This window comes from Homo sapiens, chromosome 10, assembly GCF_000001405.40.
Source record: "Homo sapiens chromosome 10, GRCh38.p14 Primary Assembly".
NCBI classification, from domain to species: Eukaryota; Metazoa; Chordata; class Mammalia; order Primates; family Hominidae; genus Homo; species Homo sapiens.
In genome coordinates this window covers 59,572,638-59,600,213 of record NC_000010.11, presented here as the reverse complement: position 1 = coordinate 59,600,213, position 27,576 = coordinate 59,572,638, and the positions used below count along the sequence as shown (strand labels likewise).

Genomic DNA, 27,576 nt, shown 5'->3' with positions numbered 1-27,576 from the left:
TAGGGTGCCTGAGACAGGACAGGAAATCCATACCAATTCACTTTCCTTTCCTTTTTTGAATGAATTATGATGGGACTGAAGTAAGTAATTTTGAAGCAATATGAGAAGTTAATTTGTATAGATCTTTATCTGTAAAATTAAGGCAACAAAAGTAAGGTAAAAGGCAATTCATTAATCAGGGTTGTGTGTGTGTGTGTGTGTGTGTGTGTATCAGGATGTCAGGCTCTCAAAATGTATTTCACAATCTGTTTCTAACAAGATTCATTTTTCAACATTTATAATTTATGACGACTGATATAAATACCATGCAATTTATTGAGAGCCTTTCAATCAATGTTTATTCTTTCTCATAACCAATTCATACATCAAAGATCCAGATAATTAAGGAAATAGTCACCCCATTGTGCTATCGAGTACTAGATCTTATTCATTCTTTCTATTTTTTTTTTGTATCCATTAACCATTTCCACTTCTCCTCCAACCCCTCCACCCCACCCCCATCCCTCTGCCCAACTGCCCTTCCCAACTTCTGGTAACCATAATTCTACTCTCTCTCTCCATGTTTCTTAACTACTGAGTTATTAACCATTATTTCACATTGGTTAAAAGAATAAACTGCATAGATCTTCCAGACCTGAAAGTTTATACGACACCCATTTTTCAGGAAGCAAGGAAATCTTCCACATACATTGGCCTGTGGGTTCTTTGGCAATTGAATAGTTGATAAATTCGTATTTTTCCTTGCAGTGAATGAAATGTAAAAAATAAAAATTGCAACCATATTTCAACCATGAGGGAGAGAAAGAAAAGTTAACTGATCATTTGCTAAAGTGGATTCAGTGGAATAAATGGGTATAAATTATGTAGAGTATAAAATCTGCAAAATTTGATAATTATTTTTATTCTCTAGCTTTATCATTGGCATAAGTAAAATTTCCAAGATCAGTGAATGATCAGTTATTTAATGACTTTTAATTTAGAAACAATCCCATAATTACCAAAGTTTTTTTTTACTTGCTCTATTCTTAGAGTTTATGCTTATGTATCAAGCTTGCAGGTGACACATCAGATATTTTTTCAATTATACATTTGGTTTATTTTGATGGCAAATTTATTTAGGTAGCTTCTCTAGAGGGTAACTTTCTTATATTTTCCTCCCTGCTGTCTGTATTACAAGATTCAAAACACATGTTTGACAAGTGAAAATTTAGTCCATCATTCAGATCATCTGTTCTTTTTGGTGCTGCATAAATTCAGTTCAAGAATAAAATAGACTGATGATCCTGTCATTCAGAGTGGCATGCCCTTACATAAATATGAAGGCTAATGATGGGCTTGTGAAACTGACTTCCCTTTATGCATTAATATTTTTAGCTGTGATCATTTCCTAATCTTGTAATTATAAAACACAGGGTTGGACTTTTGAGTGACTAGAGATTACAATACTTTTTTTCCCATGGTATAAAGAGTAAATGCATGTATCAAGGTACATTCACATGATGGAATATCATACAGCAGAGAAAATGACTGGATGACATAGTACATGGTTGAATTTCAGAAACATACATCTCAGAAGGTTCATATACGATACCATTTTATAAAGCTCAAAAATAAAACTAAATTGTATGTTGTTTATAGACAGAAGCATGTGTCTGATAATAAAAACTTAAAAAAATAGCTTCATAAATAATTTTTTAAAACATCAGGCAGTGGCTGCTTCAGTGATAAAGGGAGGACAAGAGGATGGGGAAAAGCGCAGAAATAAATATAAGTTGTTGTCAACAGTCTAGTTTTAGGCTTAGAAGTGCCGTCATAATGTTTGATGTCATTTGTTTTATATTTTAAGTGTATATTATGTATGTTACCTTTATGTATCAAATACCGTTCTGGAAAATATCATGCAGCGGGAAAGAACCCTTGTATAAAAACAAATTCTATGCATCATCTAGTTTGTCATAAAGGAAAATTTATAAATGAGAACCCCAAATCTTATAGTATTTCTCTAGATATTATTAATTTCTTTTAGAGAAGATGAAGAGAAAAAGACTAACAGAGGCCATTAAAAAGCCCTATGGATTCAGAAAACTCAAGTTTTTGGCTAAATATAAGAGTTAGCAGCCAATCGCCATATATCCTTGCAAGACTAAGGGCCCTGGAACACAAATCCTGAGTCCCAGAAATTGCTTGGAGGATCCTGATGGGGCTTCATTTCATTGATTTCTTTATATTTATTTGATGCGTTGCATCTACATTTAGCACAGAATTGACAGAAGTCCTGCTTCATGAAATCCAGTTGATTAAGTGTGCTTCCCTTCTACTTCTCCACCTATCTGAATACTAACATCCTGCAAAGTCCACTCAAGTCTCAGTTATTTAGAATGACAATTCCTGAAGAAACTGCAATAAACACATCAGCCTCTTTGATTAATCAGAGTATGTGTTGACATCAATGCTCAAGCATGTGAGAAAGTCCTGTTCATATGCTGAATATCTTTGTTCTTGCCTGCTTCATCTATGAGTTAATAATCTTCAAGAGAAAAAGATTTGTCCCTTCTATTCCTTGTACGCTATGTTTAACAATGCCCCTTACCAGTATTTTAGCGCCGAGTGGATACTTGATAATAGTGAGTAACCAACACTTTTCTCTTTGGGGTGTAGCTATCTTTGGAGAAGTGACGTGGAAGTTTCAATGTCATGCTCTAAATGCAATGCTAAACCATATGCCTCCAGAAGCTCTTGGTGGCTTAGGATAGATTCCATGTGCTTTGGCAGTAATTACCTTCACTTCTCCTTTTCTTTCACTTCCCACAATCAATCCATTAGCAAGTCTGGTTAGCTCTGCCCTTAAAACATATCCTAGCTCTTTCTGTCTCTACTGTTACTGATCCAGACCAAGCCATTTTTTTAGGTTTATGTGCTAGCCTTTTAAACTTTCGTGCTTCTACTTTTGCCTCTGAAAAATGGGAAAGAGTTAAACGTTGATAAAGATACCATTCCTTTGATTATTCAAAGAAGTACTTAAAAATAGATAAACAAAGATTTTGAAATTTGATCTAAACATTGCACTTAGTTTTTATAGTGTGTGTTTTATTGTAATGGCAAGTAGCATTTGTTTAAGAAGATGGTCTGTAGGGCCATTCCAGATTAGCTAATTCTGAATGGTTTTCCACCAGATTTCTCTATACTAATAGTGCTACCCTTCTCTATGGACAGAGCTGGCCTGGTTGTGCTGCCCCAGAAGCCTGTCCTTGATTTCTCATCCCTCCTCGCCCCCTCTCTGCTCTTCTGGCCAAGTGGCTGTGCTCTCAGGCTGACCATCCCTCTGCTCATTCCTGGTCCAGTTTTGGCTCTCCATCTCAGTTGAGCAGCCAGGCAGAGGGTCAATGGCAGGAGGCCAGCTGCAGATGGGAGTGGTACAAAAACCACCCTGGGCCGACCAAATCCTAATTTCTTGGGTTGGGGCAAGAACTGCAGGCGATTCTGGAACTCATGTTTGAGGACCACTGATGAGTTTAAGATGGGTATGTTGAATGGCCCAGGCTGACCAAGCCCTGTGGTGTGAGAGGAGGTTAGGGAAGCTTCACTGCAGACTTAAAAGGCTGACTGGGGCTGGCCTACCAAATTGGTTTGTGTTTATTTGTGTGTTTTTGCAGCCGCTTGCAATTCTGCACCCAGGCAAGTGCTTCAGCCTGCCTCACCCTATGCATGGCCCTACTTAGAAACTTCCTACTCCCCAGAGAAGGCAGGATCAAACACTGGTTAAGAGCATGGGTTGGGTGTGGTGGCTAATACCTGTAATCCCAGCACTTTGGGAGGTCAAGGTAGGATTGCTTCAGGCCAGGAGTTTGAGACCAGACTGGGCAACATAGCAAGACTCTGTCTGTAGTTTCTACAAAAAAAAAAAAAATTAGCGGGGTGTGGTGGCATGCGCCTGTGGTCTCAGCTACTTGGGAGACAAATGGGAGGATTGCTTGAGTCCAGGAGGTCAAAGCTACAGTGAACTAGGATCATGCCACTGCACTCCAGCCTGGTTGACATAAGGAGACCCCATCTCACAAACAAACAAGAGCACGGGTCCATTGGTGCTGACATTTCTTACTTGTATAATCTGAGGGAAGATATTTACACTCTGCATCCCAGTTTCCCCCTCACAAAAACAGCAATAATAATCATGCCAACTTTATAAAATTTGTGGTGAAGAATAAATGGAATAATCCACATGAAAGGTTTAGAAGTGCCTGTTGCAGAGCCATTACACTGCTTGTTCTATGGATCATTTTTTTCCTCTGTGGGAAAGTTTGGCCTGACTCTCAAATGACAAATTCATGTTCTAGAACACAACCCATTCATAACTTGGGGATGTCCAAACTAAATGGATTTGGCTTTGCCATTGTTTGGAGGAGGTAATTGGCCTTCAGAGACGAGAGTTATTCCAGTGCTAGTTAAAAGAATAAAGCCCCAGGCAGCAAACCAACCTCAATTGCCTGTAGTTGCTTTTGCATTAATCATCATCTTTGTTTAGAGAACTGCACATTTGGTTGATAATATCAACTTAATAAACAGCCTTCCTAAAGTCTCCTTTAGGAAGATATCTTATTAAAATGGGATTGTTTAAAACAAGGCCTCTTTTCAAATATGGTAAAACATAAAAATTTGAAAAATTACACTAAGGGAAAGCAAAATCAAAGGAAAGTTGTTTGAAAGTATAGGATCAGTGAGAGAAAAATGAAGGGTTTCAACCTGGTCTTTCTGTTGTCTTATTGTCACTGGTAGAAAGATAAGTAGGAAGTTACAGATAATTTTAGAGGCACATAGAAAGGAATTGTGGACATCTTATTTTTGTTGGTATCTATAGTGGGCCTTTATTTCACATTCCCATGGGCCACCCTCAAGTCTGTATCTGGGATAGGTATCTGCCTTACCTATCCCAGGGACCATTTCCAAATGAGTACCTCTTACACTAAGTTCTCCTGGTCTCATGCTGCACAAGCCCACTGCAGATCTTCCTAAGTGCACTCTGCATAAATCACTCTCCTACTCTAGAACCTTCAGTGATTCCCTAGTGCCAAAGGATGAAGTATCATAGTCTCTTAACATCTTCCAGGCCTCTGTATACCAACCCTGGCACGAACGCTGTGCTACAGACAGATGATCCTTCTTACCTTAGCAGCATCCTCTTTGAATTCTGATCTTCATGCTTTTGCTCATGCTGTCTCTTCTTCCTGGCTTTCCTTCTCTGTCCCAGCCTATCTCCCATAATACCTTTAAAAAAAAAACTGATACAAATATTTGTACACATTTACAGGGTACATGTGATATTTTGTTACAAGCATAAACTGTGTAGTGATCCACTCAGGGTGTTTGGGGTATCCATCACTTTGAGTACTTATCATTTCTGGGTTGGGAACATTTCAAATCCTCTCTTCTTGATATTTTGAAATATATAATATACAATACACTGTTGTTAACTATAGCCATTGTTCATTCTTTTTTCTCTATTTTTGTCTGAATGGATTATTTAAAAATATCTCGACCAGGCAGTGGCTCACTTTTATAATCCCAACACTTTGGGAAGCTGAGGTGGGTGGATCGCTTGAGCCCAGAGAGTTTGAGACAAGCCTGGGCAACATGGTGAAACCCCATCTCTACAAAACATACAAAAATTAGCTGGGCGTGGTGGCATATGCCTGTAGTCTCAGCTACTTAGGAGGCTGAGGTGGGAGAAACAACTGAGCCTGGGGAGGTTGAGCCTGCTGTGAACCATGATCATACCACTGTACTCCAGGCTTGGTGACAGAGCGAGACCCTGTCTCAAAAAAAAAAAAAAAAAAGGAAAGAAAATAAAATTTCTTTTTGATTAAGATTTATGGCAGTATCATTATTGTGTTCCTTTGGAGGTACCATTTTTCCTTCCTTTTTCATGTTTCTTGTGTCCTTATGTTGATATTCTGTGCATCTGGTCTAACAGTCATTTCTTTCTATTTTTGAATTTACCTTCGTAGAGAAGAAATTTTTCCTGCAGACATGTCTATAGTGTTGGTTGGGTAGGGCGCTTTGGCTTTGATTCTGGGTGTGTGCAGTAGTACAGTCTTTATATGATTTCTTTGGCTGTAAACAATGTTAGTGGTGTCTGTAATTTCCTTGGTGGGTTAGGGTGTGGTTATTTATGGAGGCTGTGATGAAGTTGTGCTGGGGACTGGGATGCCAGGTGGGCCAGTCTCCAGGCCCCATTGCTGGCAGCAGTGGGTTGAATGTTCCTATCTTTGTGTCCCAGGGTGGGGTGTGCTGGCACCTGTATTGGCAGTCACCAGCGGGCTGATTCTCAAGCCTCCAAGTGCTTGCTCAGATGCCAGTAGTGGCAGCAGTGCCCCAGGCAGGTGTGTGAGTTCTCAGGCCCCTGGGCAGCTGGTGTGGTATGGGCAATGGCAGTAGCAGTGGTGGGATGTTCTCTGGGTCTCCAGCAGCATGCATTGATGTTGGCGGTGTCTGTGATGAGGTGGGTAGGCCAGTCCCCAGTACCACAGGCGGTGCTTGCAGGTAGGTGTCAGCTGATGTGGTAGCAGCCAGGAGTTCAGGCTCAACCTCAGGCTTCCAGGGTGAGTGCTAAGGTGCCCAAAGTGGTAGACTGGTTGGGCAATCCCTAGGACCCCCAGCTATATGCTGTTTTAGATGGCATGGCTAAGCTGTGCTGGGATGGCATGTGCTCAGGCTTCCCAAAGGTGAAAGCAGGTACCAGCCATGGTTGGCAGGGGCAAGTCTCTTAGTATCCTGGTGAAGTGCTTGGGCGAAGGGTGATAGCAGCTGCACTGAGACCCTGCCACGGGAGAGTGCTGGACAACCCTTGGTGGCCACAGCTTGGGCTAGTGGGTGGGGAGTGTGCATCCCTCTCATGTCCCAGTCCTGGTGAGGCTCACGCCCCAGCCCTGGTGGCAGTACCTTCCCCCTAGCTCTCACCTCAGCTCTGGTGATAGGAGTCCCTGCCCAGCTTGCAACTAGGTCCAAGTGGCGACTCATGCCCACTGCGTACTAATCTCAGTGTTGGTGGTGTTCACTTTTCAGCACTGGCAGCCACAGCCCATGCCTCACTCATTTCTCAACCCTGGCTATGAAAGCACTCTCCCAGCTCATGTCCCAGTCTCAGCAACAACAGCCCAAGTTTTCCTAATGCTTCTGTTCCAGTGCTGCCGGGATCCAGGAGAGCATGCAGTCTTCCAAAGGCTAGGTTAGAAACAGGCATCTTGCTGTAGCTGCTTAGGTCTAGGAAAGTGTGTGGGTCTCAGCAGAAGCTGCCTCCTTGGAGTGGTTCCATCCCACCGTCTTCAGGCAGCTCCCTGTGTTAGTTTCAGGGCTTGGGGTGGCAGGTTGAGGGGATCTCCTGTGGCCAGGATTGCATGGTTCAATAGTGAGGATGTGGGCCGCTAGAAGTCTCTCATTTCCACCTTCCCAGCATTGAGAAGTCACTCGCAGCTGATCCCGCCCAATAAGGCTGCCACTCTTTCTTATGCTTCTTTACTTTTGGTATTTCCTGTCACTTTTCTGTTGAATTCTGGTGTTCTCTCTTGAATAAAGTGTGCTTGTCTATACATTATTTTGGCTCTTTTCAAAGTAGAGAAGGTGAGCATGAAATGCTTCTAGTCAGCGTTCTTGAAGCCCCTTCTTTTGAATGTGTTTTATATCACTTAATAAATTCTTCAGTTCTAGAATTTCTGTTTGGTTATTTTTTTATAATATCTATCTCTTTGATAGATTTCTCATTCACAATATGAATTGTTTTTCTGATTCCTTTGTATTATTTTTCTGTTATTCTCTTGTATCTCACTGAGTTTCTTTAATATCATCATTTTGAATTATTTATCTGGGATTTATCTGGGATTGAAATCTGTTGCTGGGAAATCATTATGTTTCTTCGGAGGCATCATATTTCCTTGCTTTTTCATGTTTCTTCTTTCCTTACATTGATATCTGCATATCTGGTGTTACAGTCACTTCTTTCAATTATTTGAATTTGTTTTTGTAGAGGAGGGCTTTTTCCTGTGGTGTTGGTTGGGGGTAGGGCACTTGGCTCTGATTCTGGATGTGTGCAGCAGTGGAGTCTTCTTATGATTTCTTTGGCTATAAAGAACATCAGTGGTGTTTGTGACTTCTTTAGTAGCTTAGTGTACAGTTGTTCATGCAGACTGCAGTAAAGTTTTGCCTGGGACCAGGACACCAGGTGGGAAAGTCCTTGGGCCCCAGTGTTGGCAGCAGTAGGCTCAGAGTGCCTGTCCTTTGGACCCAGGGCAGCGTATGCTAGCACAGGTGTTAGCGGGTCCAGGTGGGTTGATTCATAGGTCTCCAAGTGGCTTGCTTGGGTGCCAGTAGTGGCAGTGGTGGGTTCAGTGGGTGGGTGGGTCCTTAGGCCCTGGGCAGCCAGTGTGACATGGGCAATGGCAGTAACAGTGGTGGGAGTAACCTCTGGGTCCCAAGCGGTTCATGCTAGTTTTGGCAGTGGCTGCAATGGGCTGAGTGGGCTTGTCCCCAGGTCTGCAGGTAGCATGTGCTTGTGGGTGCCCACTGTGGTGGTCGTGGCAGTTTGAGTGGACCTGACCTCAGGCCCCTGGGAGGGGTGTTCAGGTGCCAACAGTATTGAATTGGGCTGGGTCATCACCAGGCCCATGGACAGAGTGCTTGATCACTGAGAAGACATTGTTGGGCCAGGGAAAACTGTCTTAAGGGCCCCTGATGGTGTGTACAAACTGTGGTAGGCAGGGACAGTGTGATCCTCAGGCCCAAGGTAGAATTCTCTGGTGGGGGAGTCAGTGGCTTCACTGCAGCCCTGCTACTGGGGAGGCGGGGGGTTGCTTTCAGCAGCAGCAGCAGCCATATGGAGACGGCTGGGGAGCATGCACTTTGCTAGTGCCCTGGTTGTGGCAGTCCTACAGGCAGGTGAATTGTCCTTGGAGTACATGGAGATATGCTGTGGCTTCACTGCTGGGTGTAGTAGAGTCTTTGCTTATGGCTTCAGCTCTGGAAGCAGAAGCCAGCTGTGAAGGGGGCTCTGGGTAGGTTTCAGGGATTTCAAGATGCAGGGGCTGTTGGGTCCAAGGGCAAGGTGCAATCTGGTTGAGATTGGGCTCTCGATATGGCACCTTGCTGTGGCTGCTTAAGGCTCACAGTGTGTGTGGGACCCAGAGTGAGTTCCCTCTCTGGGGCAATGCTGTCTCATGGTTTCCAGGCAGCTCCCTATGTTAGTCTTGGTCCATGAGAGTCAAGGGACTGTCCGTGGCTTGCAGAGTCTATGGTGGGACAGTGGACCTTTGGGGTCACTCACTCACCTTTCTCCATGTTGGGGAGCCTCTCCTCGCTCCCAGCTCATCCAGCCGAGCAGGCTGCCTTGCCTCCCTCTCCTCCCTTGCTTTAGGTGTTTCCTGTCATTCCCCTGTTGAATTCCAGTGTTCTCAGATGATCTATTTGGTGTATGATTATCTACTTGCTGTTTTGATTCTTATTTGTGGAGAAGGCAAGTTCCAGATGCCTCTAGTCAGCCATCTTTTATAATACCTTTTGAGTGAATTCTAATATGCGTTGTTCCTTTTCTCTCTGTTGAATCCCCCTCAGAGCAGAAAGAGGAGTTCTGGCTTCTTTGTATTCCCAGCATCTAGTGTCCTAGATGCTCAAGAAACATTTGTTGATGGTGATGATAATGATGTTGACTAAAATTGGATTGATTCTCAAGGCTTTTGTTGTGATTAGATGCTGAATTAATTTCGGGTCTATTATAGCAGTACATAAAACCTAAATTGCTTCCCACCTTGGAAAGCAGGGCTGTGATCAGGAAATGTAGCTCCAGAGATTTCCTAAGTAACGTTCTTTTTACCCTGTTGTTAGTTGTGCCTTTGTCAGGATTTTGAGTAAAGGTATGTGCAGTACCTCCCAAAGTGCTGGGATTACAGGCGTGAGCCACTGCACCCCACCACAAGTTACTTCTTATTACCATATGCTTCCAGCAGATGATTAAGCACTAGTTATATTTTTTAAGTTGTCCCATGAACTCAAAGTTCCTTTCTTTCTCTCAGCTGTAGAATGACATTAGGTTTAATTTGCCATTTTCCCCACTGCTCCCTGATCCACAAGGATAAATGGAAGAAGGAGCTGGCAGAAACCGATTTCTACGAGTCATCAAAGGCGTGTTATTAAAAGTTAATGTATTTTCCATTGCCAGGTTTGGGACTAATGTAGCAATAAATTGAATGAAGATGGCTCAGACAGTCTACATAATGGGAAATCAGCTAATGTGAAACTAGAGAACCTTCTGTTTTTCTAGCGGGGGAAGGGCAGAAGTTAAGCAGTGTTCAACATCTGTTTCTGAAGCATCCGCAGCCGCACAGGAATCCAAGAGAAGATAGAATGTTGCCTTTTTGGCCAAGCTATCCCTAACTAAAGCTCTTCCATTTACAATCTCACTGCTATTTCTGGGTTTCAGGGCCAGTAAGGTCATGTTAAAGCTGATATTCCTAGGTACCTATGGAAGTTTGTAGTGAAGGGAGAGAAAATTCCTGGTGCCTGTAGTGTCAGGTTGAAGAGGGTAGGCTTTTGTCTAGGGTTTAGATATGTCCTATCACATACTAACTTTAGTTAATTGTTCAACCACTAGGTTGAATCACTTTCCTCTTTTTGGGGCTGATAACTGTACCTGATCCATGGAATTGTAAGAATTCGATAAAGTCATAGCTGGAGAATGTTTAGGAGTGCCTAATGCCTAGTATATTTACAATCAATGGTAGTTATTTTTACTACTACTATGGAAGAATTTTAATTGATGTCACCCTTTCTGAGCTGATGAAAACAAATGCACAATTCTACCTGTATTTTCTCCTTTCTTCCTTTCATTTTTCTTCTGTCTATTTCTCTATCTTCTATTTTGTCTGCTCTTTAAGCCCTTATAATTTTACTGGGCTTACTAGAGAAATAGGACACATCAAAATTTTTTGTTGCTGTTGTTGTATGTAAATAACGAATCAACAACTAATGATAACACTTCAGGATATAAGAGGATGAGCTAAAATTTCATTTCAAGATGAGGCTGGGGACTGGAATGACTTATTTCCTGGTCCTGATGAGATGAAATGAAGAAACCGGCAGGAACCAATAGATGGTGACAAAAGCCATTCCTGGCTGTTCTCATTGTTCATTCACATAAGACACTCCCACAAGTGCCATGACAGTTTACAAATGCCATGGCAACGACCTGGAAGTTACCACCCCTTTCCATGGCCATGACCCAGAAGTTATCACCCGTTTCCTAGAAAGTTCTAAGTAACCTGGCTGGGCGTGGTGGCTCACGCCTGTAATCCTAGCACTTTGGGAGGCCTAGGCAGGCGGCTCACTTGAGGCCAGGAGTTCAAGAGCAGTGTAATCAACATGGTGAACAAAAATTAGCCATGCGTGGTGGCAGACACCTGTAATCTCAGCTACTCAGGAGGCTGAGGCAGGAGAATCGCTTGAGCCCAGGAGGCGGAGGTTGCAGTGAGCTAAGATTGTGCCATTGCACTCCAGCCTGAGTGACAAGAGCAAAACACCATTCCCTCTCTCTTCCCCCCAAAAAAGAAAGTTCTGAATAGCCCATCCTTCAGTTTGCATTAACCTGCCCCTTAATTTGTGTGTAATTGAAAGTGGGTATAAGTGAGCATAAATACAGTTGCCAAGAGCCCATACCCTGCTGACTCTGTGCATGGTCTATGAGTTAGTCCTGCTCCACAAGGAGCAAATTTTACCATTTGATAAAATATTGCTGTCTAACACCACCTGCTCATGCTCAACTTCTTCCCTGGGCAAAGCTAAGAACCCTCCTGGACTAAGCACCAATTCTGGGGCTCACCTGCCCTGCATCAAAGAGACTTAGGGCAACCATTACAAAGCTCTTCCGACCAAGAGAAGAAAGAAAATGGACTTCTGCCTTTTGGATCTCGAACTGTCCCACTGTAAAATGAAAGGTTGGTCAGGATGATGCACGATGGAGCTTCAGATGTTAGTGTCTCCCTCACTAAAATGAATCAGGTGTAGTGATAAATTGTACTGGGCTAGCTCTGACAGTCTATTAATATATTAATGAGAGACTACTCTATGACTACTCTGGGCTCTAAAAGGGGAAAAGAAAAGGGAGGTCCATTCCTAGTGAGTTTTGAAGTGAGGCTGGGTCTTGACCTAAAGAAGAACAGATGTTATTGGGAATCAGTGGGGACCAATGATCCATGGTGAGCTAGTCATCATGAGCTAGTCATGGTGAAGCACTTGGGAAAGCACGCAGCAGGTCTGGTAATGAGCAGGCTGCTGATCTGAGGTCTGAAGAGCCCAAGCCCTCTTGGGGCTGGACAAATGAGATGTGCTGAGAGAGGAGGGAGCTGAGCAAGAACAAGGGACTGTTTGGAGCTGACTGGAGAGAGGTTAGGGAACATCGCTGGTTAATATGTCCATTGACTAAGCCATTGGGTCAACCCAGATGTTGGCCAAGAGCTGAGTGATCTCAAGGATCATCTGAGAGAGGTGGCATGGTGGAGAGGAAAAGGCATTATCTTTTAGACATGCAGAGAAGGCTGCTGCTTTCTAACTCTGCAAGGGGAAGCTGTTTGACTGCTTGTGGCCTTGGTTTTGGTTTGCAACATGGGAATCTGCCAGCATTTCAGGGCTGTTGTGAGGATGAGTGGCAATGTGTGTGCGCATGGCAGTGTGCTCAGCAAGTGGAAGTGATTATTGGTAACTCCATTTTTTTTCAGGTAAGAAAACCAGTGCTTACCTGAAGATTAAGGAAGGTAGTAAGGAAGGAAGATGATTCAGCTATTCATTTGTGAACTGAGTCAGTGCTTCTCCAACTGAATATGCACAAACATTAACTGGAGTGCCTGTTAAAAATGCTGAATCTGGTTTCGTAGGTTTGGGTGGGGCCCATGACTGCAGCTCTGGCAAGCTCCCAATGAGGCCTATGCTTCTAGTCCTGGACCAGATTTTGAGTGGCAAGAACCTATATAAAACAACCTCCTAAAGTTGTGGTGAAAGTAAATGAGTTAGTATAGATAAGTGCTTAGCAAATAGTCTGACACATAGTATAGGCCTTCAATAAATTGTAACTGCTGCCATTATTGTTTTATTCCAACTTTGAGGCTGGTGGGTTCTCTATTTTATCTCCTGAAGCAGCCCTAAAAGGGGGCCAGATTGTCAGCTTCTCAGGAAAAGCAAGAGCCTTTGACAGAGTGTTTATGGAGCTGTGCCCCTTTAAGCTTTAGCAAGACTGGGAGGAAGCTTTTCTAAGGTAGAAGGAAATGTTTGGAGACCCTCACAGGCAGGGACCTCATGCTGTTTCTAGCTTTTAGTTATGTGGGGAGTGGTTATTTAGTGGGTCTGTTTTTAGCAGTTCCAGTTGCCTGGGGACAAGCCAGATATGGACATCCAAATGTCTCCTGAAGGTGGCCTCAGAGAAGCCAAGGAAGAAGGAGTCCAGCCAAAAAAAAAAAAAAAAGGCAGACCCTTCTTACTAGCTCTCCCTGTAGGCCAAGTTTATAGCCCAGAAAAGTGCAGACTGTTCTCTGTGGACTCAGAAAGCACAGATCTTCAAGTTTTATGAGGACATTTCAGCACTTACAATGATATTGAACATTTAATTGCCTGTGCTTTGTTCAGCTAAAAGTATTCTTCTAGAAATGTAACTAGGTAACAGCCCAAGCTTCTCAGGCATCTGCCCGCTGGGTGTCCTGTTTGAGCCCTCCTTGTACTGAGCTGTCCCTGGCTGCTTGGAGCAGACACTCTTTTGATACCTCTTTGTCCTATAACTCGATATTGCCTTTACTCTCTGGACATGTGTCAGAGCTTGTCAGAGTTCTTTTCAATGAAGCTACTGGAGTAATTTCCTATCACCAATCTTCCAACCTAATGTCTTGAGGGAATTCTTGTACGACTGTTGTAGCTTCTTGTTAGATTCATAGCAGAGTTAAGGAAAGATTCAACGTGTACTTCATATTAATAAGATCTGGTGCCAAGGGAATCTATGACATAGTAGGAGTGGCTCATTGTGTTTCAAAGCACCTAACGGGCTTTTAGGCAATGACACCGATTATACCAAAATAGATTAATCCCTGTCTCAAATCCAAGGCAAAACTGTGAAGTCAGTGTTGAAACTCAGGTTCTATGTCTTGATACCTGTTATTTTGTTCTTCTATCTTCAATGAAACCAGCTTGGATAATTAAATTTTTTCACATTTAATGGAATATCCTTATATCCATGTTTCTCAAAGAGTGGTCTGAGGACTCCCTGGGTCAGAATCCCCTGGGAGCTTGTAAACAATATACATCACTTGACACTGTTCCAGGCCATCTGAACCTGGGCTCATGGAAGTAGGGATCTCCAGATCTACATTTTTCTTTTCTTTCTTTGAGACACGGTCTTGCTTTGTTTGTCACCCAGGCTGAAGTGCAGTGGCATGATCACGGCTCATTACAGCCTCAGCTTCTCAGGCTCAATTGATCCTCCTATCTCAACCTCCTGAGTAGCTGAGACTGCAGGCGTGGATCACCATGCCTGGCTAGTTTTTGTATTCTTTTTTTTGTAGAGATGGGATTTCACCATGTTGCCCAGGCTGTTCTTGAACTCCTGGGCTCAAGCAATCCAACTGTTTTGGCCTCCCAAAGTGCTGGGATTACAGGCGTGAGTCACCATGCCTAGCCCAGATCTGCATTTGTATCAAACCCGTATGGTTTGAAAACCACAGACTTATTCAAGGAAAGTAGTTGTGATGGTTAAGAGAAGTCTGTGTTAAGTGGCTCTAATTTATACCCTGGGTTCTTCATAAAGTTTCATTGTAAAAAAAGTTTTTACCAAAAGAAGAACTAGAAAATCTCTGGTGTAGTGGATAGATTGATTCTCTTGAGTTCAAATCCTAACTGCCAATTGTTTGTATGATTTTAGCCAGGGGTTGACAAATGATGGCTGCTTGCCAAGGGCCAGCCAGCCTGCTTTTATAAATACAATTTTATTGAATCAGAGCTCTGTCCATTCATTTACTATTGTCTGTGGCTATTTTCAGCTATAATGGCAGAATTGAGTACTTACGTCAGAGACTATACAGACTGCCAAGCCCAAAATGTTTACTGTCTGGCCCTTTATGAGAAAAGCTGATCAACCTTTTACCTAGGTGAATTAAAATATCTCTCCCAGCCTCAGTTTTTCTCATGGATAATATGAAATTAATAAAAACAGTATCTTGTGTGGTTAATTACCTCATTTAAATATTTAAGTATATTTATCTTTTAAATACTTAAATATTTAAATGAGGTAATGAATAGAAGTTTCCTGGGGTGACTTCTAATGATAATATTGTTTAATATTTAATTGAGTGCCTGCTGTGTGCTAGGCACTGATTTAAATACTTTACATGGACTGTCTTATTTGTCTTTATAACAACACTGTGAAGTCTTTTCATTATTCCCATTTACAGATGAAAAAATGGAGGCAGAGAGACTGAATAATTTGTTCAAGGTTATGCCAGCTACAATTGGTTGAGTCAGGATTGGATCCTAGAGCCTATGTACTTCATTGCTGTGCTGAATTTATCCAAATAAAGTTGCATTTCTGCCTTTCCTCCTCCTTCCTGAAGCTGGCACGGCCTGTACCTTTGCTCACAAATCTTAAAATAATCCCCCATAAACACAAGAGGAATCTGAAGTGGCAAAGGGATTGCAGCGTCTGTCCAATACAAGCTCATCACTTGTAAGTTGTGGAAGCTAAAAACCTTGCGTCCAAAGCCCCATAGCTGGATATATGCAACACCTGGTCTCCTACCCAGGGGAGCCCTCACTCACTGGTCAGATGACACTGAATTGATTCAGTCCCCTTAGTGTAGGAGAACATGAATAGTTCTATGAGGGAGTTTAATGAAAACTAAAACCTTAAGTTCTTACTGTCCTCAAGGTTCATAACTTTTTCAAATATACCCATAGGTATTGGACAGGTTGAGTCTCAAATGCCTGTTAAAACCAGACCACTGTCTATGGTGGTCATATTGTGTATTTCATGGCCCTGTGCCTCCCTACCCTCAGTGATTCAGAGTTTTCAATGGTCCATACCAGTACGGCCATATTGGTAATTAAAATAATGGAGTATTTCTCTATTGAAAATGATGGCTACCCTAAGCCTTCCTGGTACCCTCCCACTGAACTGGCTGTCTAAGCCCATCTCTCTTCTCAACTTTCCAGGAATTAAAGAGTTAACCCCTGTGAGACTAAGGGGTTTAGAGGACCCTGGTGCAGGCCTCAGGCAGCTTTGATTCTGATTTTTCTGTGTAAGTGCAGAGCTAATTGCTAACTATAATAATTTGAATACCACCTTGTGTGGGCATTCACTACTTCAGTACACTGGGATAAGCTGAGCCAATCACATACTTTCTTAAGAATTTGTATCTGGAAGAAAGACGTTGGGTCCTTCAACAGTGGGAGTTGGAATTTAAGAGGATTCTAAAGAGGGTTGTGGCCAGGATGGGCTCTGAGCAAGACTGAGATGCAAGAAGATTTAGTGAGCAGCAAAGGCTGGAGGGGAGAGAGTGAAGGGAGAGCATATCTACAGAGAGAAGCAGAGACACCCTGAGAGAACAAGCGGCCCTGGAGAGGACCAGAGCGGGGGCTGGTCCTAAGATCCACCTCAGTCATTGGTTATTTTTTAAGTTTCTTTAGACTGTATCTTAGCCCACTTGTGCTATGACATAATACCACAGACTGGGTAATTTATAATGACCAGAAGTTTACTTCTCAGAGTTCTGGAGGGTGAGAAGTTCAAAATTAAGGCAGTGGCATCTGGTGAGGGTCTTTTTGCTGCATCCTCACATGGCGGAAAGTGGAAGGGCAAAAAAAGAGAAGAACTGCCTCCATCAATCCCTTTTATAAGGCACTAATCCATTAATGAGGGCAGAGCCTTCACCCAAACACTTGCCCCAAGGGCCCTACCTTCCAACATGGCTGCACTGGAGATTACAGTTCCAATTTGTGTCCTTTACACACATTTTAAAGGACACATTCAGACCACAGAAAATTCCCTATGGGTACCTAAACCAAATCCCATTTCCTGAGTGAAGCTGTTTTTGATATAAAAGAGCCAGAAGAATCAGTATGGCTTCAAGCCAGTAGTCATTCATTCCATTTAAATTAAACTACAACAAGAGACACATTGAAATCATAAAATATATTGTAAGCGGCACCATGCCATGGATATCTTTGACTGCATCTGCATGACCATTCCAGGCACTATGAGATGACAGACCCTCACTGTGGCGAGGGTAGATGAGGTTAGCAGCTGAGGCCTAGCAGCCTGAAGAATGCTCTCCTCTCTCATTATTGGCCTTCATTCAGGGCTGCTGCCCATCAGCATGAATTATCACTTTTAATAACCAAACGGACATTGAAATGGTAATGAGAATATTATGGTTTTCCAAATGAAAAGCCTCAATCTAATATATTTTCCTTTGAGAACACTAATTTGAAAATAAAATCATAGTTAATTTAAGCTAAGTTAAATACAAAGAATAATGGAAAATAACCAGTAAAAGCTTTGTACTACTGCTTTTATTTGGGTGCACAGAGACCTACATAGCCTATCTGTAATTCCTTATTTCCTGGGAAACTTAAGATGGTTGGAGAGAGGTGTGTCATAGCTGAGTATTTTCAAATGATTATAAAATGGAAGTATTAAAGACTGAAAGGATGAGAAGATTTTAAGTAGGAATATTGATAATAGGTGAAACTATTCCAAGGGTTAGACTAGAAATGGAATTTCAAAACAATGCAGGGCTCAGGAGAAGAAAAAATAGGAAAGAAAAACAAAAATCCTAAGCTTGTCACTCAAGTCTCTCTGGGATCTGCCCCCATAGGTCACCATTCTCTCTGCCGTCTTCCCTGCACTGCCCTGTACTGCTGCCAGCTCACAGACAGTCCTGCTATTCCCTTGTCATCTCTGCCTATTCTCAGCCTTCTACTCGGAAAGTCTACATCTCTGAGGACAGAAATTCTCTGAGTCCTTCTACAGTCCCACCCCCGCACTTTCCCAATCACAATTCTGACTCCAGATTTTTATTGCATTTTGTATTTTTTCCTACCCCATGGCACTTAAAATATATGACCCTGTTTCCCAGTGTTTGGAGTACATGTTCTACTTCTGCTATTAGACTCTAAGCTCCCAGAGCCTGCTCACACTTTTTCCTGTATCCTTGAAATATACATTTACCTTCTCCCCTTGCCCTCACCATACCTAATTAACTCTTACTCATCTTTACATCAGCATTCAAAAGGGGCTTTTCCTGAGAAGTCTTCTGGATTCCTCAGCCTAAGTTAGGTGCTCACATAGCTCCTTATTCACTTTTTGTCACAGCACCATATATTTATATAATTATTTTGTAAAGGTCTACCTCCCGCTCTGGACCAGCTGGGCAATGTGAAATGTACAGACTCCCAAGCCCTGGAGATTCAACACTGGGTCTGAGATATGGCCTGGGGGACTGGGAGTTTCTAGATGTAGCAAGGACCCAGGCAATTCTCATCATCAAGAACACTTGGGAGACATTGTCCCAGCTCCCCAGAGATTCATATGTCACTGGTCTGGGGCAGAGACTTGGCAGAGTGTTGGAAGAGACAATATTTTCCAATCTAGTTTCTGGTTTTGTTTCATGTATTTTGTAGAAAACTTTGTCCTTTTAAAAATAATATGTTACATTTTTGATCAAGACTGATGAAGATATTTAACTTCTGGATGAGGAGAGTGCATAGCAACAATCTATTCTCATTGAGGGCCTTAGTCACACCTATTTTAACCTGTATGCCTTTTGTATTTCTGCAAATAATACTGGTTGACATCCTCTTCATTGATAGTCTATTATGGCTGAGGTTCTCCACCCCTGCCCCCCATATTGTGGACTCAAGAGGCCTTAAGGTAACAAATAAAGACAGCATCTTTCACCAGAAGGATTTTTGGGGAGTTCATTGGCCATAGAGTGTTTCCCAAGAGATGGGCACAAAGCCATAGGCTGAGCTAAACCTGATGCAGAGAACAAGAGAGAGCCTTCTAGAGTGATGTTACAAGTTTATTTAATTACTTTCTAAGTCTCCTCCACAATTTCCATCCCCCTCTTAACACACTCAGGTAAGTGAACACATTTGGGTAACCAAAGAAGGAGATGGAAAAGCCCCCGAGTTGGGCTTGCAGCCTTCAATATTTGTCTTAGTAACCCCTAATCCCATCTTCTCTTTCAGAGCACTTGCCTTTCTCTGCTCTTCAATATCTACTCATAAACACTGAACCCAGAGATGAGTTTCAAAGCTTTGAGAAGCCAAATTACTATATATATATAGAGTATATATTATATATATATTATATATATATTTAATTTCCACTTAGGTAAGATTATTGAGAGTTTTCTCAGAATTTGCTTTTTTTTTTTTCAGAAAAAGCTTCAGATTATATTTACCTTAAGATTATTAACCTTATCTGCATACCCATAAACACTGATAATTAGAAATTTATGTATACAATTAACTTGTGGGACATTCACCTGAAAGTAAATAGTCCCTCATGAATCACCACTATCTTCACTATCTTCTATATCAAAACTTATTACCGATAAAGAAATCAACACATTTGTTTCTTCCAAGCATCTTTAAAACTCAACAGCTTTGTCCAGCTGATGGTGTTTTTCTTCCATCAGAACCTGTAGCTCCCACCTCTGCAGGGACTTGAAGTACTGTTTAGATTTTATTCCACTTGGGGTCAGTATTGTGCTCCTGATTGCTGCTGTCTTCTTGTTTTTATAACTTACAAATATTAATTTGGGAATCTCAGTGGAAATATCCATCCAGTGAAAACATGGGAAGATGCAAAGGTGATCCAGCTCTGGCTGCTGTCACTCCCACCCCTGTCTTGATGGCTAGCTACATTCACTTTGTAGCAAACTAGGGAGCCAATTCATTATCACTCCCTTGTTTCCGTGTCTTCTTTTAATGCCATCTGAATGTTTTCATCCTCTTAAATGCTGTTGAGACATGACTTGCCATGACAGCTTAGCATCTACACAATTGTGACAAAGGCTTAGCCAAAAGGGGGCCTGGACGCAATATTTTAGCTCCAGCTGTTTCTCCTTATTGCTATTAGCAAAAAATTAGTGTTTTTCTTTAAAGGAGAAAGGTTACAATTAATTACTTGAGGAAGAAAAAAAAACACAAACAGTGGTCTCATTCTTGGCTGCACACTGAAATTATCTAGGGATAATAAGTAAAATACTGATGCTCCGGCCATAACCTAGACCCGAGATGGGAATTTCCGAGAAGGAGAGGGTGAGGGGTGGGGTGGTCTCAGGTATAAGCATTTTTTAAAGATCCCTAGTAATGTGGTTAGGTTGAGAACCAATGTCCTAACAAAATTTGGAGGGCTGAAGCTGACTATAAACACAGAAGAATTCCAGAGCTAAGGCAGGCCAAAAACAAAAAGCCAGAAATCAAATTGGATTCTGTTTTCTTCTGTTGATTATCAGTGTGACTTTGGAGAAGTCATATCACTACCTTGGGTTCTTCTGTAAATGGCATAAGGGCCAAAGAGAATGGAATGTGACAATCATTTGAAAACAGATTCTTATTATTATGGTCATTTTTATAACCATATTATTCAGTTTATTGTATTTATGGAGCTTAACCAGTGTCCTCTTCCTTTTTTCTGTGCTTGACTTCTTCAGTGTTTCCTGGGCTTCATGCTGATGTAATGGAAACAGAATTTCCTAGATGGGTTGTGGGCAGGAATTTACATTTTAGCAGACAAACTGTAGGACTTCCAGTTCTAGACAAATGAACTTAATGCATTTCTCCCTAGCCTTCCTATAAAATGCAGGTAAAAACCCAGACATTATACATAAAACAAACATAAAAAGTCTCTGAAAGGTGGAGAGAAGAAGGTAGATTGGTTAGGGACTAATCACTAACTATAGCTAAACTCCTGGACATCATGTATGCAATATTCTTTTTAAAATTTTGACAACAAATAATCTACTCCAACAAAATACCAGGGAAGAATCCATGTCATACCTTTACCTTGTAGAAAAGGCTGAGAAGCATAGGTTGAAAACCTAGACTTCCATCCTCACCTGGAGGTGATGAGGTGCTCTTTTCCATCCATGCTGAGGTGGTCTCCCAGGAAGTCAAGTAGGCAGCCTGGATTTCTACCTCCGCCCTGTGGCGATGAGCTGCCCTTCCTTGAATGCCTTCCTTCAGTTTAGTGGAGACTATCCAGGGAGCATGAACTTCTAACCCTCATCTGCTGGTAATGAATAGCTCCCCGCTCCCTGCCATGGTGGTACCAATGGAGGCTGCTGGGGAGTCTGGACTTCCACTTCCTTCCAGTGATAAAGAGTTAGTGCCCGGCTTCCACCACCAGTCCAGTTTCAGCACAGGCCAGCTAAAACAAAAAATTTACATAAGATCTAGAGCCTCATAATGTAACACCCCAAATGTTCAGAATAGGATAAAAAACCACCCATCATACCAAGAGCCAGGAAACTCTCAACTGGAATGAGAGAAGGAAATCAACAGATGACACTACTGAGACAACACAGATGTTGGAATAATCTGATAAGTATTTTAAAGAAGATGTCTTAAAAATGTTTTAATGAGCATTTGTAAACATCTCTGAAACAAATGGAAACAAACTGTTCAGGCGATGTTTGTGCCCATCATGGAACATGTGAAGATCACCATTTCGGGAAGTTCAGGTATTTTTTTAAGAGAGGAGGCAGCTGGTCAACTAGGTTTTTGTTTTTTAAACTCTAATCATTTCTTTGAGGGCCTAAGTTGGCTTAGTGTTAAATACCTCCTGAATGTTTCCAACTTACTTCTTGGCAATCTTATATTAAAATAGAATGAATAGGGACACAGTCAACCTCATTGGCCATTATGGCTAAAGATTTAAGGAACTGAGAAGTGACATCACTTCGTATATAGAATCCAATTATAGCTGTCTCTGACCAGCTCATATCTTACTTAAGCTACAACTCTTAATAGGAACCACGACTTCCCTCCTCTTCCTTACTGACTGCAGCTCCCATACCCCCTCTACCATCTGCTTACTACTCCACCCAGAGTCAGTTTAGGGGGATTTTGTGGATGATTCAGTGACAGCCATTTTTATGGCACTTGGAGGAAAATGGGGGAAGGAGGAAGGGGAGACTGGGTGCCCCTACTTCTCCTTTTCCTGCTACCACTTTTACTGGAAACTCAACACAACACCCTTTAGAAGCTTTCCTAGCCTTACTTCTGTCAAAATCCAACACTCACACCCACCCCAGATCTCACCCAGTTACTTCTTTCATAGGCTTCACATTCCTACAATAAAACACCCAAGAATGCTTCTTGCTAAGTTTTCTTTTAAAATAAAGTAATATTGATATGGACAGGAGACAGGGAAATACTGGGTAGAAGAGGACAGTTCCTTGGCAAAGGCCCTACCCTCAAGCCTGGATATCCTAGCCCTAAATGAGGACAGGAATTCCTGTTTTTTTGCGCAAAAGTTGCCTTTGGCCCACCACGCCCCCATCCTGTAACCCCATCCATATAAGCCCCAAACCCCAGGCTCCAGAAGCAGATGAGGATATGAGGAGATGAGGAGACAAGCAGACAAATGGCAGAATGGTGTGGCAGAGAAAGAGAGAAGAGAAGGAGAGTCTGTATGCTGAGAGGAGTTTGGCTGGGGGTGGTCAGAGAGGAGTTCGGCTGCTAAGATGGCCCAACTCCAGGGGAAGATCATCTTCCCACTCCATCTCCATTCCAGTTCCCTATCCATCCTGTTGAGAGTCACCTCCACCACTCAATAAAACTCTGCATTCATCCTTCAAGTCCATGTGTGACCTGATTCTTTTGGGACCCTGGACAAGAGCTTGGGTTACAGAAAGCTGTCACACCTGGCCCTCTGCCCTTGAAAAAAGGCAGAGGGTCCATTGAGCTGGTTAACACTTAAGCCATCTGTGGACAGCAAGGCTAAAGGTGCACACTGTAACATGCACCCGCTTGGGTGTTGGGAGTCACAGACACCCACCCTCAGACACTGCCATGGGGCTGGAGCCTAAAAGCACTTGCCCCAGTTCCTGCACCTGCTCCATAAGGGGTTTGAGCCTGAGGTGGCCTAACAGAAAGCCACACCCACATTGCATGTCCTGCAAGGAGGCCAGGGAGCTCTCCCATTTCAATATTATTAACCCATTTAAGCATAAGTCCTATTAATAGAAAACAACTGTCATCTGGCCTCCTTCCTCTTTAGGACACGTAGGAAAAGTGAATTAGTTCGACTTAGTTTCCCACAATTGATAGTATTAAAATTGAGGTTTAGAAAAACCTGAAAAGGCTCTATGCTTGGGAACAAAGCAAAAATTCTATCATAATGTTGCATAATCTGCCCCTTTCCAACTAAGGCCAACCAAAGTCAATGTTCTATTGTCTTCTCAGAAACCCATCGTACTTGAGAATGAAAAGATTTTTTCCTGCCTGACCTGACCTTTAAGTGAAGAAAGGGGAGCCACCAAGAGACATAGATATTTGCTGATGTACCCAGGCCAGGCTGCTACCTAGACACCTCATATTCTCAGCCTTCTAAATTTCCTGACTGATCAGATTCACCCCTTTTCGAGGTGAGGGGGGTGCATTTCTTCATACCACATGTTCAGTATCAGCTGTAAATTTTGCTCAAACAAAAGAAAAATTGTTCTTAGTCTTGTCAAGCCCCACGATGATTTCTAAGATTGTTCTATTGTCCAAAATTCTCTGGACAACCAGCTGTTCTTTAAAGGATTAGGTGATCTCTCAGAGCAGAAGTTGGGGATCTGGCCAGTGCCACATTGGACAGTATTCCTATACTAGACTCTACTTGGTAAGTACAGCTAGTTGATTGCTGACCTTGTTTATTCGTATAGATATCATTTTTGGTAAAAGCCTGCTTTGTCTGCTAACAGGCATATGTAAGGTTTAGGAAGGAAAAGAGCAGTAAGTGATGGAATTGAGGCTTTTTGGTTTGTTTTCTCCAAGGTTTCTATTTACTTACATAGGGATGAGTGACTACGCCGATTCTTCTCCTTTCATAACAGTGGACTCCAAGTCTTTTGACCCACTGGTGGTAGTAATTATGGATTCCTAAATCAATGCTTCTCTGACATCATCATGAGAATCTTCAAAAATTAAAGTAACTGAAACAGTTTTGTGGTGGGATTTTAAAATAGCAGCTGCAGCTTCAAAGATGGGGTAGCAATCAATTAGGAAATGTAATGATCCAGGACTTAACAGGAAATGCAATAACCACTGAGAGAAGTGAGGATATGTCCTCACCTAGCTAATGTTATCACACAGATGATGAGGGCATGGATGATAAGCCACGTGAATAAAGCATACATTTTATGCAGTGGTGGATTGTTTAAGGAAAGAAAAACTTAGGGCCTCTGTAGTAGATGGTTTTGAGGCACATTTTAGGGAAGTGACCAGAGATGCAGAGTGACATGTCATTTTATTTTATAGGATGCAACAGGGATCCCTAGAAAGTGTGGCTGAAATCTCCAGAGTCCCCAAGTCCTCCACTCCACCCCATTGACCAGTGAGAAAGCAGCATCAGTCATAGCCATCTAATCCCCTTCACCTGCCCACTCCTCCCCCAGCTCAGGAAATTGTTCTAGGTCTCCTGTGATGAGAGCAATCAGCAAGTGGATTGGGGATTGCCTGAGTGATTTGCCAGGGGAGCATTCTCCAGAGGTTGAGTCATCTGCCTTGCCAAAAATAAAAAGCCAATGTACTCAGATTGGGTTTCTTGGTTGATAATGAAAAAATGTGGGAAAGCTATACACCTGCAGTGCATGACTATAAAGACACAAGAAGTAAGATCTGGAAGGCTAAAGGAAGCCTGAGTCAGATTGTTCATCCCTCTTTTCTCCATGAGTACCAGGTGTTTCATCTGTGTACAAATAAATTGCTCTCATGAGCACCCATTCCACCATTCAAAGCCATCACTTTCATGCAACTTTTTTCTTTACATTTCACTTTTGTGAAGATTGCTTTCTTGTCCTTTGAGGGGATAGAGACAAAGCAACCATTCCCCTCTGACTAAATAATGCTTCATACACAACATTCTTAGCCAAATAGTGCCAAGATTCTGCTTCGCCCATCTAAGTAATCCCCTTCACACTTCTTTGTTTTTATTTTAATTATATCTGTTGCTGTTATTTGATTTCTCTTAAGATTAAGAAATAAGACTGAACATAGAAATGGAATAAGATGAGAAATGTGCCAAAAGGAAAAATAACCTTGTGGTTTTTACCTCCTCTAGTTATAAGCAACATGTTGACTCAATTTTTAGTAGTACTATATGGAATTTAACCAATTTCTAAACATAATCATTTTGAGTTAGTGGTATACTCTGAACTGATCTTTTAAAAAGGTTTTATTGTAGTATAATTTATATACAAAGAGGTGTCTATATGTAAAGTATAAGTGTTAACAAATATTTGCACCTGAGAAACTATTATATACTCAAGATAATAAACATAAACGTTATCTCAAACTATTTCCTTTAGCCCCTTTGTAATTTCTCTCCCACTTCTTTTGATCCCTCTCCCACACTGACCTGCTTTCTGTCACTATAGATTAGTGTATCTCTCAATTTATTTAGGTTGCTTTCATTTTGGCAATAATTTTTAAGTTTTCAGGATAAGATCTTGCACATTCTTTGTCCGATTTATTCCTAAGGATTACATTTTTTGATGCTATTTTAAATGATAATTTTTAAATTTCAATTTTAGATTGTTAGCATATACAGTTGATACTTGTACACTGACCTTGTAGCCTTCAAAATTGTTAAATTTACTTATTAGTCCTAGCAAGGTTTTTGCAGAGTGCACCAGATTTTTTCTCCGTAGAAAATGATATATTAGTGAGTAAAGAGAATTTCATCTTTTCATTTTCAATGTTGATGCCTTGTATTGCCTTTTCTCACCTTATTGTGTTGGCTGGAATCTCTAACATGGTATTGAATAGAAGCAGTGAGAGTGGACATTCTTGTCTTCTCTTAAATTTTAGAGGGAAAACATCTGGTCTTTCACCATTAAGTATGATATTAGCTGTAGGGTTTTCATAAATGTTCTTTACCAGGTTGAGGGCTTTCTTTCTTTCTTTCTCTCTCTCTCTCTCTTTCTCTCTTTCTCTCTCTCTCTCTTTCTTTCTCCTTCCTTCTTTCCTCCCTTCCTTCCTTCCTTCCTTTCTTCCTTCCTTCCTTCCTTCTTTTTTATCTTTCTTTTTTCTTTTTTGGTTTTTGATAAGAACATTCAATATAAGATTTACATCTTAGCAATTTTAAGTATACAAGACCACACTGTGAACTATAGGCACTATACTATATAGTAGGTCTCCAGAACTTATTTATCTTGTATAAGTTCTGGATGAACTTATACATGATGAAATTTGTACCCTTTAGCCATCACCTCCTCATTTTCTCCTCCTCACAACCTTTGTCAACTGCCATTCTACCTTCTGCTTTCATGAGTTTTGACTATTTTAGATTCCACATATAAGTGAGATCATACAGTATTTGTCTTTCTGTGTCTGACTTGCTTCACTTAGCATAATGTCTCCCAGGTTCATACATGTTGTTACAAATGGCAGGATTGAGGAAGTTCCTTTCTTTTTCCAGTTTGCTAAAAGTTTTAGTGAAGAATGGATGTTGGATTTTGTTAAATGCTTTTGTGCTGCTATTGAAGTGCTCGTATGGTTTTTCATTTTTCAGACTTATGTGACGATTTACACTGATTAATTTCCATGCTAACTACACTAAAGTATGATCTGCTGACATTTTGTTAAGAATGTTTGCAATCTATGTTCAAGAGAGATTCTGGATTGTAGTTTTCTTTCTTGTAATGTCTTTGTCTGGTTTGGTATTAGAATAATGGTATCCTTATAGAATGAATTGAGACATGTTCCCTCCTCTGCAATTTTCTGGAAGAGTTTGTGTAAAATTAGTATTATCTCTCCCTTAAATGTTTGATGGAATTTACCAGTGGAGACATCTGGGGCCTATAGTTTTCTTAATTAAATGTTTTTTTAACTGCAAATTCAATTTCCTTAATGGTTATAGAGCAATTCACTAATCTAATTCTTGGGTCACCTTAGGTAATTTTTCTTTCAAAAAGCCTATAGATTTCATTTACATTGTCAAATTTAATGACATACAACTATTTATAATATTCCTTTATTATTCTCTTAATATCTGCAGAGTCTGAAGTGATGTCACCTCTCCTGTTTCTGTTGTAATTTGTCTTTTCTGTTTTTTCCTGATCACTTTGACTAGACATTTAACAGTTTTATTGATCCCAGAGAACAAAATTTTGATTTCATTCTTTTTCTATTGTGATTGTTTACTATTTTGTTGATTTCTGTTCTGATATCTGTTATTTTCTTTCTTCTGTTTATTTGCTTTTACTAGTTTTTAAGGTGAAAACCGATTCATTGACCTGAGACCTTTTGTCTTTTCTAATATTGGTCTTTAGTCTATAAATTGTGAAT

At 41.4% G+C, this 27,576-nt stretch overlaps 1 long non-coding RNA gene across 1 annotated transcript; it reads right to left on the bottom strand.

Moving 5' to 3' along the window:
- Nucleotides 1-3,850: 3,850 nt before the first annotated feature.
- LOC105378318 (uncharacterized) lies at nucleotides 3,851-21,633 on the bottom strand. Its single transcript, XR_945990.3, has 3 exons — nucleotides 21,138-21,633; nucleotides 5,163-5,262; nucleotides 3,851-3,889 (listed from the first exon to the last, which is right to left on the bottom strand). It is a non-coding gene; the product is annotated as an uncharacterized LOC105378318 (long non-coding RNA).
- Nucleotides 21,634-27,576: the final 5,943 nt, after the last annotated feature.